General features: G+C 50.4%; 1 long non-coding RNA gene across 1 annotated transcript; it reads right to left on the bottom strand.

Moving 5' to 3' along the window:
* Positions 1–697: 697 nt before the first annotated feature.
* LOC124907882 (uncharacterized) lies at positions 698–1610 on the bottom strand. The gene is made up of 2 exons (XR_007087224.1): positions 1514–1610; positions 698–997 (listed from the first exon to the last, which is right to left on the bottom strand). It is a non-coding gene; the product is annotated as an uncharacterized LOC124907882 (long non-coding RNA).
* Between the last annotated feature and the right edge of the window lie 12706 nt (positions 1611–14316).

Below are 14316 nucleotides of genomic sequence, written 5' to 3'. Positions count from 1 at the left end.
TGATACGGAAGTTCCTCAGCAGGGATCCCCAGGAAGGGATGAAGTGGCTGAACCCACAGGGCTGGTCATGCACCAATTCAAGGATAAGGAAGGGCAGCCACATGAGTTGGGAGGGGGCTTTCCAGTAGAGGAAAAGTTGATGCAGAGGTACGAAATAAAGGGAGGACTTGGGGCTGGGCGCCGTGGCTCACGCCTGTAATCCCAGCACTTTGGGAGGCCGAGGCGGGCGGATCACGAGGTCAAGAGATCGAGATCATCCTGGCTAACATGGTGAAACCCTGTCTCCACTAAAAATACAAAAAATTAGCCGGGCGTGGTGGTGGGCGCCTGTAGTCCCAGCTACTCGGGAGGCTGAGGCAGGAGAATCGCGTGAACCCGGGAGGCGGAGCTTGCAGTGAGGCGAGATCGCGCCACTGCACTCCAGCCTGGGCGACAGAGCGAGAGAAAAAAAAAAAAAAAAAAAAAAGGAGGACTTGGGGTGGTTGACCACACAGAGAAGCTTCACACCAGGGGATGGGCAGTTAAGAGAGGGTGGGCAGGTTTCATGTCATCCATAGACACAGTCTTATCTGCTGTGTGACTTTTGTTAGAAATGACATGTTTGAAAATGGTCACAGGCAAGGCTCATTTACTCTGTGCGTGCATTCATTTTGAGTCCATTCATTCATGCGCTGGCGCACTCATGACCACTCTCCTATTATTTCTTCATTCTGAGGTTTATTTACCCATTCCCTTCCCTATTGACTCTTTTGTTCATCAGTTCACAATAATGACAATGTATGGAGTTCTTCCTTTCCTCCTTTCTTGGGACGCCCTTGCCCAGCGAGGACCGTGCAGAAGCGGGAACCGGGCACTGGAGGGCGCGCGCGGCACGCGCATCTCGGCTGGCACCTCCTGGCTCCGCGGGGCCGGAAAGAACCTCGAATACTCGGTCTTAAAAGGCTCCTAGTCATCCCGTTCCTTCCACTCCTCACAGCACAGATGGGGAAACTGAGGCCTGGAGAATAAGCGTGGCATACCCAGGGTCACCGGAAGAGTAATGAGCTGAACCAGAGAGGAGGAACGGGAAGCGAGACTTCTAAGCAATGCGGGGTGGCCCCCGGGCCACCGGAGGAGGCATGGTCGGGCACGTCCCCAAGTTTCGGTACCCGTGGTGGCTGTGCCAGCCGATATGAGCCCCTCCCTCTCTAGGAAGGCGCAGGACTCGGGGAAGCCTCCGCGGCCAGGCCGCCTGCCTACCCGCAGACCCCGGGCGCCGCCCGCGTTCCCTGCCCTTCACTTCCCAACCCCTGCGTGGCCCCAGGGTCCACATTCCTGGAGTTTTCCTCCCCAGTAAATAGTGCTGTCCCCCACTTAACAGCAGAGGCGCCCAGGAGTTCAGGCGATGTGTCCAAGGCCGAACAGAGGGACAGCAGTGAGCTGCTCAACCTTTCCAGCTGCGCAGCCAGGACACGGCTGGGGGCGGGTGGAGATGTGGCGCAGGGTTAGGGTCCGGGTCCCGGGAAGTAATGACCGAGGGCGGTGACCACTGTCTTCAGCTTCCCGGCGGGCTTCCCTCCAAGGGATCCCTAAGCCCGAAGGTGCCCGGCTGGGAGAGCAGAAAGTGTACTGGCACTGGGACAGACCGCTGGGGTGAGGCGGGGGCGGGGAGAGCTGGCCAAGCGCCTGGGCGGGGCTGGGGCGGGGCCTGGGCGGGGCTGGGGCGGGGCCAGGGCGGGGCCGGGGCACGAAGGGGTCTGTGAGCGACCCCTTGCCCGCTTTCCCCGCTGTACAATGGGTATAGGTGTGCTGCCCTTTCTACTCCCAATGGCTTTGTCCAGAGTGACCACACTCGGGAATTAATCGCGGCACACTCCCTGTGGTTGTCTCCGGGAAACTCGCAGGCGCCTGGGATGAAACTGGGCTGTGTGGCCCTGAAGTGAGGTCCTCAGTGTGCCTCTCAGGCTGACTGAACCCAGGGGGGAGCCGTGCCTGGCTTATGGTGGTCCCCAGTCCTGCCCTTCTCCTGGCTTCATGTTCTTACTGAGGCCACGTGCCCCATCCCCAAGACACCCACCTGCCCCATAGAGACGCCTCCTCCTGCATCCTTCTCTGCTCCTGCAGGACTCTTGGGGACTCCATCCCTCCCTCTTCCCAGCTCTGCACTGGCTAGGTGGGGCACCTTCATTCAGTGTTGTTACAACAGCCTCAGGACTTGCCTCTGTGCCTGCAGCCAGAGAGCAAAGCAGAAACCGATCTTGGCCACTCATCCTGCCTAAACCTTCTATGGCTCCCCAGTGCCTTCTGGGATCAATTAAACCCCTTAGCATGAATTGCCCCTGATCAAGTGATCAAGGCTATGACGTCTTGAAGTCTTGTTTTGTCTTTTCTTCTTTCTTTCCTTCTTCTTTCCTTCTTTTCATTTCTTTCTTCCGTTCTTTCTTTTTTCTTTTCTTTCTTTTTTTTTTTTGAGACAGGGTCTTCCTCTTCACCTAGGCTGGAGTGCAGTGAGGCAATCTCGGCTCGCTGCAACCTCCTCCCGGGTTTAAAGGATTCTTGTGCCTCAGCCTCCCTGAGTAGCTGGCCACGGTGGTCTCAAACTCCTGGTCTCAAGTGATCCACCTGCCTTGGCCTCCCAAAGTGCTGGGATTATAGGCCTGAGCCACCGTCCCTGGCTGCTCCTGATCAAGTCTTTAGTCTCAACTCTGGTCACACAGCTGCCTCCCTCTACCGCCTGTGCTACATCTGCAAAGCACTCACACAGGCACACACTTGTGTCCACACCCACACATGTGCACATGAGCAGCGCCTGCACACACAATAGACGGACACACAGGTACTCCTATAATTTGCCATGTTCTCTCCCCTACCTTTGCACTTGCCTTGAACATACCGTTCCTCTTTTTCTGTCCAATACTTTCTCAGGTTTCAGGAATCAACTAAGTCATCACTTTTTCCAGGAAGCTGCCTAGACAGCTAGTGTGTTAGGTGCTCTCCCCTGGGCTCCCCTCGTCCCTCTGGTGCAGCACTGACCTGTTTCTGGTCCCCCACAGAAGACAGGGCATGTCCTGAAGGCAGGGCAAGACATATTTCTCCTTTGTTGCCCTGCAGGAGGCCTGACACAGAGACAGCCTTCTGGAGGGTTTGTTAAAATGAATGAATGAGGAAAACCAGAGTATCCATCAAATGGAAAACTGAAGAAATGTGAGATGGTTGGATGGATACCCAGAACAAGGCTGGCTCCAGAATGTGCTGGAAGCTCACAGTGCCTACAGCAGGACAGACAAATCTTCTTCAGTGAGGACAAGCTAGCTCAGGTGGTGTCACGGCGACCCACAGACCAGTGGCTCAAAACTTGGACAGTTTATTTCTCATTTGCACTTCAGGGCATTGTGGTCAGCAGGAGCTCTGCTCATTACCGTCACTTGTGTGCAGCTGACAAAGCAGACCAAGTCCAATGCAGCCTGCCTGTGTCACAACAGAGCAGGGTTCTGGAGAGAAACTTGGCATATCCCTTCTGCTCACAGCTCACTGGACAGAGCTAGTAACATAGCCCCACCTGCCCCAACCACAAGGGGCTTGGAAGTGCCATCTGCCTTGGGCTCGGAAACGTGGCAACCTGGAAAAACGGCCAGTGGTACTAATGACAACCACTGTCCATGTGTCACCAGGGAGCCCGGAGAAAGGGGCTTTGAGAAGACCTCAAAACTATATAAGCCAGCCTCCCATAGCACTCCTGTTTTCTGTTTGCCCCCTCCCACCACACTAAGCCACCTACCATGGCCAACAGGAATACCAAGAATTATAAAGTCAGAAGAGATCTTGGGATCTAAGACAGACTGATTCTTCTAGGGTGTGTGTGCATATGTGCAGGTGTGTGTGTGCGTGTATGAGTGACCGTGTGTTAGTGTGTGGATGCAGGTGCACTGTGTGCATATGTGTGTTTGTGTGCATATGTGCATGTGCGAGTAAGTATGTGTGTTTGCTGGGAGCAGTGATGTTGTGTGTAGTGGGTCAATAGTTCCCCTTAGCGACCACCGCTGTGTGTCAGGCTCTGCTGTAGATGCTGGGCACACATTATCTCCTAATCCTTCCCATAACCCTGCAAAGGTTGGCATTGATGTGCATGTATGGAGGATACACGGATCTCAGTGAGGCCCAAGGAGGTGACAGGCTTGCCTGGCACCACTGGAGCAGGTCTTGGCATTTGTCTCTGCCTGAGTCCTGGACTGCTCACATCTTACCAGAGTGTAGCTCTTGCCTGCCCTTTTCCTTGCTTTTCCTGGCTGATTTCCATCCCATTTCCTGGGATGCTGCCTTGTATGCAGGTTTCACTCTGCCTCCAGGCCTTCCTCTAATTTGGAGCTCCTTGAGGAAGGGGGTTTTCCCTCTGCTTCTCTCTGCAGGCCTAGGCCCAGCCTATGCTCAAGCAAGGTTAGAGGGTGATGTGACCAGGGAATCTTCCTTCACCTTCATTTGGGGTAGGAGTTTCCTTCTCTTCCTAAAGCCTCCTGGTATAACAGCAAGAGCCCAAGTTCTGGTATTAGAGCTGTCTGTCTCACTTCCAGACTCACTAGCCATGTCCCCCTGGCAAGTCACTTCCCCTTCTTAAGCCTCAGTTTTCTGGTTAGCCAAGTGGATAGAGGTGCACGCTACAGCATAGAGGTGCAGGGAGGATAAAAATAGATAGCGTGATGTGGCTATCACAGATCCTACGTGTTACCAGGGCACACATATAGCAGCTATGTTAATTCGTATAAATATATTACTGTACGGGAGCTCTCAGGACTGCTGCTGAGGGCTGGGAAATGAGCATGCTCTGACGGACTGGGCATTTTGTGCTCTCCTGCAGAGGAGATGCATGCAACACAGTGGCCTGAAGCCTCCACTTGAATTTCACCGGACAAATATCGACAAGTCTTCATCCCTTTCCTGAGTCTGTGATTTGTCCTCACTGTAGAATCAGGGATCTGCAGAAGACAAGGAAACAGGCCAGAGGGGGGAGAATTGTCCTCCCCTCTTGCCTGTGAGGGTCCAGGGCAGAGGATCTCAGAGTAGGCCCGATGGACTGGCTGATGGAGAGGAACTTAGGTGGGTTTATCCAACAGAAACCTGGAAGAAAATTTTCCCTGCTTGACCCACTCCGGGGCAGGCCACCACAATTCCACTCCTTTGCTCCCCAGTTCTGTGATTTGAATGCCTTCCAGCCTTTCCAGTCTCCAAGTAAGGTTAGTGGGCCTCACATTCCACAGCCTCCAGGCAGGATTCCCAGAGCCCTTTAGCTACACCCACTTCTGCCTCCTGGAAGTCTCCACACCTGAGAGTGCCTGCATCATGCCAGGCCTTTACAAACAGCCTCTCTTTTATTTCCAGGACAACCAAGAGGTGCAACCTTTGGTTGGTGCAACCCAACAAAGGAGGTACTGACCTCCTTTACAAATGTAGACACTGAACTCAACAGGTAAGTGCAAGGACAGCCCGCAGCGACCCAGCAGAGGAGCTGCGATTTTGAACCCAGGTGGTCCTGGGTCCAAAGCTCTTGGTTCTAACTTGGCCACCTGAGGCTTCCCAGGAACAGCCCTTCACATGAAATCCCATGTGGCATTTGCCATTAGCCTGTTGTTTTTGAGGGACAGGTGCAAAGATTTTACACATTTTTAAAAAATTCACTTCTCAGAGCCTGATATGGTTTGGATATGTGTCCCCGCCCAAATCTCATGTCTAATTGTAATACCCAATGGTGGAGGTGGGGCCTGGTGGGAGGTGAATTGGATCATGCGGGTGGTTTCTTATTAATGGTTTAGGAACATCCCCCTTAGTACTGTCCCCTTGATAATAAATGAGTTCTCATGAGATCTGGTTGTTTAAAAGTGTATAGCACTTCCCCCAACCCTTGCTCCAGCTCACACTATGTGAGGCACCTGGCTCCCCCTTCTCCTTCTGCCATGATTGGAAGTTTCCTGAAGCCTCCCCAGAAGCAAGGAGAAACCTCTATGCTTTCTGTACAGCCTGCAGAACCCTGAGCCAATTAAACCTCATTTCTTTATAAATTACTCAGTAACAAGTATTTCTTTATAGCAGTGTGAGAAAAGCCTAATACAGAGCCCAGACCCCAGAGTGGTATATTCACCTTCTGTATCGTGCCCCAGAGCACTCATTGGCTTCTTTTCCCATATGATCAACTTAAACTCCTCTGTCTGGTTTCTATAATTTTGATAGTTAAGCCTTCTGATACCCGTGGGATCCTCATTCCAGTTGGAAGATGTGTGGTTTGGAACCAAAAGCAGTGCTTCATTAGAAGGGAACCTAGACGCGGACCCACTGTCCGACCTAGCCTGAGATCAGCTGGACCTGGCGGCAGGTTCCAGGTGAGCGGTCCGAGACCCGCAGGGCGTGGCCTGGCCGTGGTGTGGGCGTGGTCTGGCCAAGGTGTGGGCGTGGGTATGCGCACACAGCACACCGACCCTCAGCCCTTTCCAGAGCGCCTGAGCAGGCCTGGCTCCCAGCAGTCCTGTGAAACTGCTCAATCCGGAAGTGGGGCCCTTTTTGAGTCTGTGTTTCTCACCCTCACGTTCAATGTCAAATTCCACCGATGCTTTCTGGTCATTGCCCCAGCTCTTCCCTTCCTCAGCGTCCCTACTCTGTGCTCCCTGTGGCCCTCGGTGCCTCCTGCTTCGCGTTGTGCCCTGTTTCCTAACGCCCCGCACGGCCTCGGCCGCCTCACACACCCTCCACCTCCCCGTTGAGGGGCTCATTATCAGTCTCGGCGTTTCTTCGTGGCTCCCTTGTTTAAAAGTCCATCACTTCTTCATTTAGAAAACCTTTAAAAGTGCTTCTCATGTGCCAGAACTGGGGTGTCACCTACAGCATGAAGCCCCTGCTCCTGCAGCGTGGACCCTTCCATCCTCAGCCGTGTGCCCCAGCCTCAGCTGCAGTCTCGGGCTTCCAGCCACCTCTGTACCCTGGCTCTCACTGCTCCCCGTTACGGAAATGCCCCTTCCCTCCTGTCATGGGGCAGCTGTCCTCACAGCAGCTGTCTTCTCCCCCAGGGGAGAAAAGGGGCTTGGTGTCCTTGCCCCACTGCTGCCTCCTGGCCCCACTTGTGTGTCCTCTAGTCAGAGCTCTGCTGGGGCCTTGCTCCACCACCTCTAGTCAAAGCTCTGCTGGGGCCTTGCTCCACCGCCCGTGGCCTTTCCGGTGGCTGGGACCTCTGGTGGCCCAACCTGTAACTTTGACACCCGAGGAATGCACCTGCCTCCAGATCTGCTTTCCACTTGTTCTTTATGGTGTCAACTTTCATCTTGATGACCTATCTGATACACACTGGCTGCTGGCCTCTGTCTTCCTTGATGTTTTCTCTGGGGACCATCTCTGGGGGTTCAGGTCAGCCGGCTCATGACCCACATCAGTCAGGAACCTTGCTATTACTGGGAACTCTTCACTTCAAAATAACTCCCTCCACTCTGTGCTTAAAGCTTCCCTCCTCCCACACGGCTGTCCATCTTGGGACCTCAGATCTCATCCCTCTACATCCTCCCAAGGCAGCAGCCCCTTTCTGCCCTCTTGTTCCTCCTGACCCAGGAGGATGAGACCCTGGCATTCCTCTTATGTTTCTTGCTACAATCCTTCATGCTTGCTTTCCCATACCCTAAACTTCCTCACCTGTGTTTCCCTCCAGCAAATCTGGTAAAGCCGCACTCCTGGGTGAGCCCTCCCTTCACTCTGCTTTCTCCCCACCTGCCCCTGCCTGGCTGAGCGCTGCAGGAAAGAGGCACACAGTGGGACAGGTGAATTCACTGACCTTGAGTGGGGCCTGCACCAGGCCAGCAAGTATGACTGTAGAGGGGACACTGGCTTGGTGTCATTGGTTCCTGCTCTCCCAGCTCTCCAACCCCTATTGACTTTGACATACAAGAGGCAAAACATAGGATGGTAGCAGAGAGTGACAGATTTGTCACAGTAGGAAAAACACAGCCCTGTTGGAAAATCATTCAATTAGTGGGCTGTGTTTGCTAAGAAGTCTCAATGGCCCCCAAGGAAGACAACATTGGGAAGACCAGATCTGGAGGAATTCACAGAGACACGGAGCCAATCCATGAGAAGCATCCTTGGTGGGCTAGCAGTCAGAGGCATGCAGAGACCGAGGGACTAAGGGCCATCATCAGAAGCTACAGGGAGACAGGGAAGAGAAGATAGCTAGAAACAAGTGTGGATGAGATTGTCTTGGGAAGGGCTGAGCAAAGAAAAGAGAAAGAGGTCCACAAATCCCCAGTATTGAAAGAGAAGGCAGAGGAGGGATGGCCAGGAGATAAAGGCACCCAAGGAGAGAAGGAGGCTACCCAGCAGCCAATAGCCCCAGATGAAAAACTGTATTTCCCAGCTTCTCAGCATTTGTCAAATTCAACAGGGGTAGGAGTAGCAAGTAAGACAAAAGTCATTAGATAGGGTTACTGGGAAAATCTTCTGTCTTTCCCCACTTGCACCTTGCTGCTGCTTGGGACTTGAATGTGATGCCTGGAGTTCTCACAGCCACCTTGGATCATTTGGTTACCAGAGGAGAAAATCCATGTACTAAAAAGGGCAGAGAAGAAGGGTAGAAGGAGGCTGAGTCCCTAATAACCTTGGAGCCACCACAGCAGCTTTGGGACAGCTCACCTATGGGTCTTTATTTATGTGAGAGAAGGCTAATCCTCTCGGACACTTATTGACAGTTGAGGGCATGGGTCCCGGGTAGTGGGAGGGTCCCAGATCTATGGGCTGAGTAGGAAGTGGTCATTAGGAGGCTGTGAGACACCTGGTGAGAGCAGTGGGTTGTGGGGTGGAGACAGGATGCAAGGTGTGAGGCTTGAACAGAAAAGAAGGATGGGGCAGGGGCCCATGAGAATTGAGCACTTTTTTTATGGATTGTGACTCAGTATGATGGAGAGATGAGATCAGTGTGATACGGACAGTGTGAGCCAAATGCATTTCTATGGCAGATACAGTCTTCCTTGGTGCCCACATAGAGCCCAGCACACCCTGGGGTCCAATGTGTTGGTGCAGGCAGGTGGAAAGTTGCTCAGCAGCCAGGCCAGGGAGAAGGCATGTTTTGCTGAGCTGTATCAGGCCCATTGCTGTAAGGGCTGGTTGGGTTTCATCTTGTTGCTTTCCCCAGAACCACCGGTAGGGGAGGGGCTTCTGAGTGACTCCCACCTTTGTCACTTAACCAAGCTGTATCCCAGCTTCCTCATTTGTGAGCTGGGGGTGCACCTTCCCACCGGAGGCAGGAGCTGTGAGGCTAACTCCAGATAATGCTCATGACATGTTCATCTTTGTGCCTGGTGTCTTCTCCATCCCTGACCTGACTCTAAGATCATGTTTCCAACAATGAAAGCCTTCATGAAGGATGGTGGCACCTACAAAGTATGTAGGATTTGGGGACAGCCTGACCCTTCTCCTGGCCCTACCTCTTCTGTTTACTTTTCCAGGGACCTCGGGCCAATTCTTTCACCCTCTGGCCTTGGCTTCCCATCTGTAAAACAGAAACAACACCTCAAATTAGCTGTGCAGGGGTTAAAAGAGGTGATGGGGGTCATACACCCACTCGAATGTCTTACATTAAAGACTTGGACAGTGAGGAAGGAGACCTGCTGTGGAGGGCTGTTCCATGGCCCCCACCTCTCCTGGAGACACAGCTTCCTCTTGGCTTCACTGAACCCCTAACATATGCCTGTTGGGGTTCACTGAAGCTCTGAAATGGCTGTTGCAAAATTTTTCAAAGGATTTGGTCTGTTTAATTCATTTTCTGGAAATACCCATGTTCTCAACGTAAGTAAGAATTATTCCAGAAATGACCAAATCCCCCTTCCTTGGGAGTTTGGTAGAATAAAGATGCAGAGGATGCGGTGGAGCCTGACTCTCCTCATCTGGGAAGACCTGGTGGGAGCAGGAAGTGGCAGAGATTGGCTGCCCAGAAGGTCATGGTGACCATGCCATGTGTCTAGGGGTGCCAAGCATAGGGTGGGGTCTAGAAGAAACTGGCCAGGCCCTTACTGGCCTTCTCCTCTGAAATGGTTTGGCTCTGTGTCCCCACCCAAATCTCACCTTTAATTGTAATAATCCCCACGTGTCAAGGGCGGGACGAGGTGAAGATAATTGAATCATGGGGTCGGTTTCCCCCATACTGTTCTGATGACAGTGAGTGAGTTCTCATGAGATCTGATGATTTCATAAGGGGCTTCCTCCTTCACTTGGTACTCATTCTGTCTCCTGCCACCCTGGGAAGAGGTGCCTTCCACCATGATTGTAAGTTTCCTGAGGACTCCTCAGGCATGCAAAACTGTGAGTCAATTAAACCTTGTTTCTTTATAAATTACCCAGTCTTGGGTATTTCTTCATAGCAGCATGAGAACAGACTAATACATCTTCTTCAGAACAAAAAGGCTGGGTAAGGGGGTGGGCACGGAGGTTCCCAGCAGTACTGTGCTCACGGCATTGTGCCAAGTGCATACTTGTCCTCCATCTGAGCCTCCACAACCCTAAGAGGAGATGTGGTCAGAAGCAACCCAAGGTTTTGCCAAGTGAAACTCCGTAAGGAGACAGAGCAAATTTCCAGATAGGCTGGGATCGGAGCCCACCCATGACTCCAGCTCTGTGTGTGTTTCCTCTGAGTCTTCCCTTGCATTGCTGTCCCAGAGAAAACACTCTGGAGCCCCCAGGAGGTGCCTCCTCTTGTGCTACTGCCCCTGGGGAGGGGGCTTCCTTCCCAAGTGGGCATGGGGCTATTGCTATCCCTGTTTATAAAAGAAGACACCAATTGTTGAGATGAGAGAGTGAGAGAGGAAAGAAGAGAGAGAGGGAGAGAGAGAGAGAGCACACAAGAGCAAGCAATGGAGGAGCAGCAACTGCTGCAGAGGGGGATGTTTTCATTGAATTTTCCATACGCTAGTCACTCGCCAGTGTGGAGATGATGCCAGGGAAGGTGGGTAATCATGTGAAACCAACATCACAAGATGGGGGTAGAGTCACTGAGCCCTGCTGTCTCTTAATGTTAGATGTTGAACACTTGGGCCAGTTGACTCAAACGTGATTTCGATCTTAAGTGTCCAGCAGTTTCCACCTGCGTAGAAGCTGCTGGCTCTAGGTCCTGCTATCGGGGGCTGTTCCTGGCATAGGCACTGGGGTTGGGGGTCCTCACAGACACCACGCTGGCTTGCTGTGTCCTCCTCTGGGGTGGGGCACAGACCTAGGATCCCCATGTGGATCACAGCACTGGGCACTCCGCCTATACTCCCTCCCAAGGCCGTCACATCAGAGCGCTCAGAGCTGCAGGGAGCTGAGCTCTGCAGAGTCCAGGGATCCACATCAGGGAGGCCAGCGAAGCCTAGAGGATCCTGCAGAGGGGAGGAGTAGCGGGCTGGGGAAGGTATGAGGAGATTTTCCAGAAAATCGCAGCTTATCCCTCTCTTCACAGAGATGCATCTCTTTCTGTGTGTGGTTGTGCTGTCTGCAGTCATATACATTGTATCCAAGGGGCTGGCAGTATTTTGATATAGTAACAGTGTGAATTTTGTTCTTGGTAATTCCTCTTTTAACCCAACTGCTTTTCAATTTAGACTTTGACGCTGAAACATTTTGGACTTTCCCTGGGGGGACCAAAGGAAGCAGTGCTTGCCTGTAGGTTCCTATGTGTGGAGGAACAACAGAGCCACTTCGGGTCGGGTGGATTGGGCATCTCTGGGTAGAGAAGGACTTTGCTTCCTTCCTTGGGATTGGAGTGGGAAGAGGCTCAGGGAAGCAGAAAATTCCTTGAGCCCCCTGTCTTCCCACCACCCCTGGCCTGACATAGTAGAATGGACCGGGCAGTGAGATAAATGAGAAAACCTTGGAATGTCCCAGACTGGGGCAGGAGAGCATCTGCAGACTTTCAGGCTTCTGAGAGGAGTACTTGCTGGCGAGAGAACAGTGCCCAGAGGGGAGCCTGGAGCCTCTGTAGGAGAACATCCTCTTAGACAGTGGAGACCAGAGACAACAATGGAGTGCTGGTCATCTCAGCAGCTCCCAGGAGCACCACAGGCCATGGCCAAGGACCAGACACCCTCCCTATGAAGTCCTTCAGAGCTCGGATACCACCCTGGTGAGAAACTTGGGAAGAAAACTGAACGCACTAGAGGAAAAGAGTATCATGCACATGAAATGCATGTGATTAAATTTTCTGGAATCAGCAGAATTGGGGCTTGAAATAGAAATTATGTCCAATTATAGAAAAGATTTTTTTTATAAAAACATACCTTCCATATTTTTTGAGTTACATCCCAGATTGACATCTTTGTGGCCTTTGTGGTCTTTGTGGCCTTGGAGATGAAAGTAAACTTGGTTTACCCCACCCCCCAATTCCACAGCCTGGCAGCTCAGCAAGCACTGTTTGAGCTTCACCGGGTATCTGGAGAGCAGCCTTCACTCTACGTTTTATGTTGAATCATTTCTTTAAATACAAACAGTGCTTGCCATTAGAATTTTTAAAATGCACTTTCTACCTTGCTTTTGCACTTACAATCTCACACTGTGTAATAATTTCATATAGAAATATTTTTGAAATGTACTGCCTTCTTCCCAGGTGAGTGAACAGGAGTTGACCCAGCAGGACCAACTCCTTGATGCCATGGCCATTGCCAGTTTGCTTTGTCCCTGTTCTGTGATGCCTGATGTTGAATGGAACTCCTAGCTGCTGCCAGCTGATCAGCTTGGTTAGGAGCAAAGTGAGCACAGTGCTTGGAAGCCCAGTAGTGGCCTCAGACCTCTTGGGCTATTCCACCACCCACTCAGACTCAGACCCCTCTGACATCCTTCAGACCCCAGGCTTGGTGGGCATCTGCAAGGCTTGCTGCAGAGCCTGATGCAAAATGAGCACGCCATAGATGATGGCTTGTTTCATTATTATTTATTGCTACCCAGGTCTAGACAAAGGCTATCAGAGGCAACAAAATAAGCGAGATCCTGTCACGTTTAAAAGGGAGAGAGATTATTAAATCACTACAAGGTTGAAGACATTTTTAGCTAGTCAATTTTATACAGTATTGATTGACTCCCATTTATGGAAGATGAGAGTATCAGTGCCATTTACATTTTTCCCCTGTATAACCTCTGACCAACTTTTCATTGTTATTTGTGTTTTATTTGATCTGGACATACAACATCCATATTCTGTTATATAAACAGGGTTCCTATATTTGTTCCATATTAGTTATAGATGTAAACAGATTCACTGCTCACCACCATTTTTTAAAATCTCATTTCTTCATCCCTGAGTTTTTATTTTGATTCCTCTTTTGTCTAGATTTTTTTTTTCTTTTTGCAAAATACTGTTTCAGGGAAAGACTACTGGATTTGGTAATCTCTGAGCTTCTTATTTCATGCCTGCATAAATTGATCTATTGCCTAAGTGACATTAAAAGTCATCTTGGTTTCTATACTTAGATGGCATCTTGGCTGGATATTACGCCCACCACCATTTTTTAAATAATCATTTCTTCATCCTTGGATTTTATTTTGATTCCTTTTACGTCTAGATTTTTTTTTTTTTTTTTTTTTTGCAAAGTACTGCTTCAGGGAAAGACTACTGGATTTGGTAATCTCTGAGCTTCTTTTTTTTTCATGCTTGCATAAGTTTACCAATTGCCTAAGTGATATTAAAAGTCATCTTGGTTTCTATGCTTCGATGGCATCTTGGCTGGATATTATGATCTGCTATTTCCTTCAGGACTTGTAGACAATACTCCCTTGTCTTTGACATTGCTATTGCTGTGGATTCATATATATGCTTTTTACCTTTTTAGGTTATTTATTGTCTGTCAGAATGGCTGGAAAATTCTTTCCTTATTCTTTAATTTTAATAGTTATCTAGGAAATAAGACATTTCAGTATTATGTGCTTTATATAAAAATTTCCCCGATTAGAATGTGCATTCTTTTAATCTACAGACTATTTTTTTCTCCGCAATTTCAGAAACTTTGAAAAGAAGACATTATCCATTGCAAGTGTTAGGACAGGCTTTCATTCCTATTGTCTGTTTCCGCTCGCTGCTATAGTAGTGTCCTTTATCCACAGGAGATACATTCCAAGGCCCCCAATGGATGCCTGAAACCGAGGATAGTACCAAATCCTATGTATATAGTCATCCCCTCCGTATCCACGGGGGATTGGTTTCAGGATTCCCCTGAATACCAAAATTTGAGGATTCTCAAGCCCCTTAAACAAAATGGCATAGTATTGGAGTGTAATCTACAAACATCCTCTTTATACTTTAAATCAATTCTAGATTACTTATGATACCTAATATAAAGTAAATGCTGTGTAAAT

This window comes from Homo sapiens, chromosome 2 (assembly GCF_000001405.40).
Source record: "Homo sapiens chromosome 2, GRCh38.p14 Primary Assembly".
NCBI classification, from domain to species: domain Eukaryota; kingdom Metazoa; phylum Chordata; class Mammalia; order Primates; family Hominidae; genus Homo; species Homo sapiens.
This window is presented reverse-complemented; position numbering and strand designations above follow the sequence as displayed.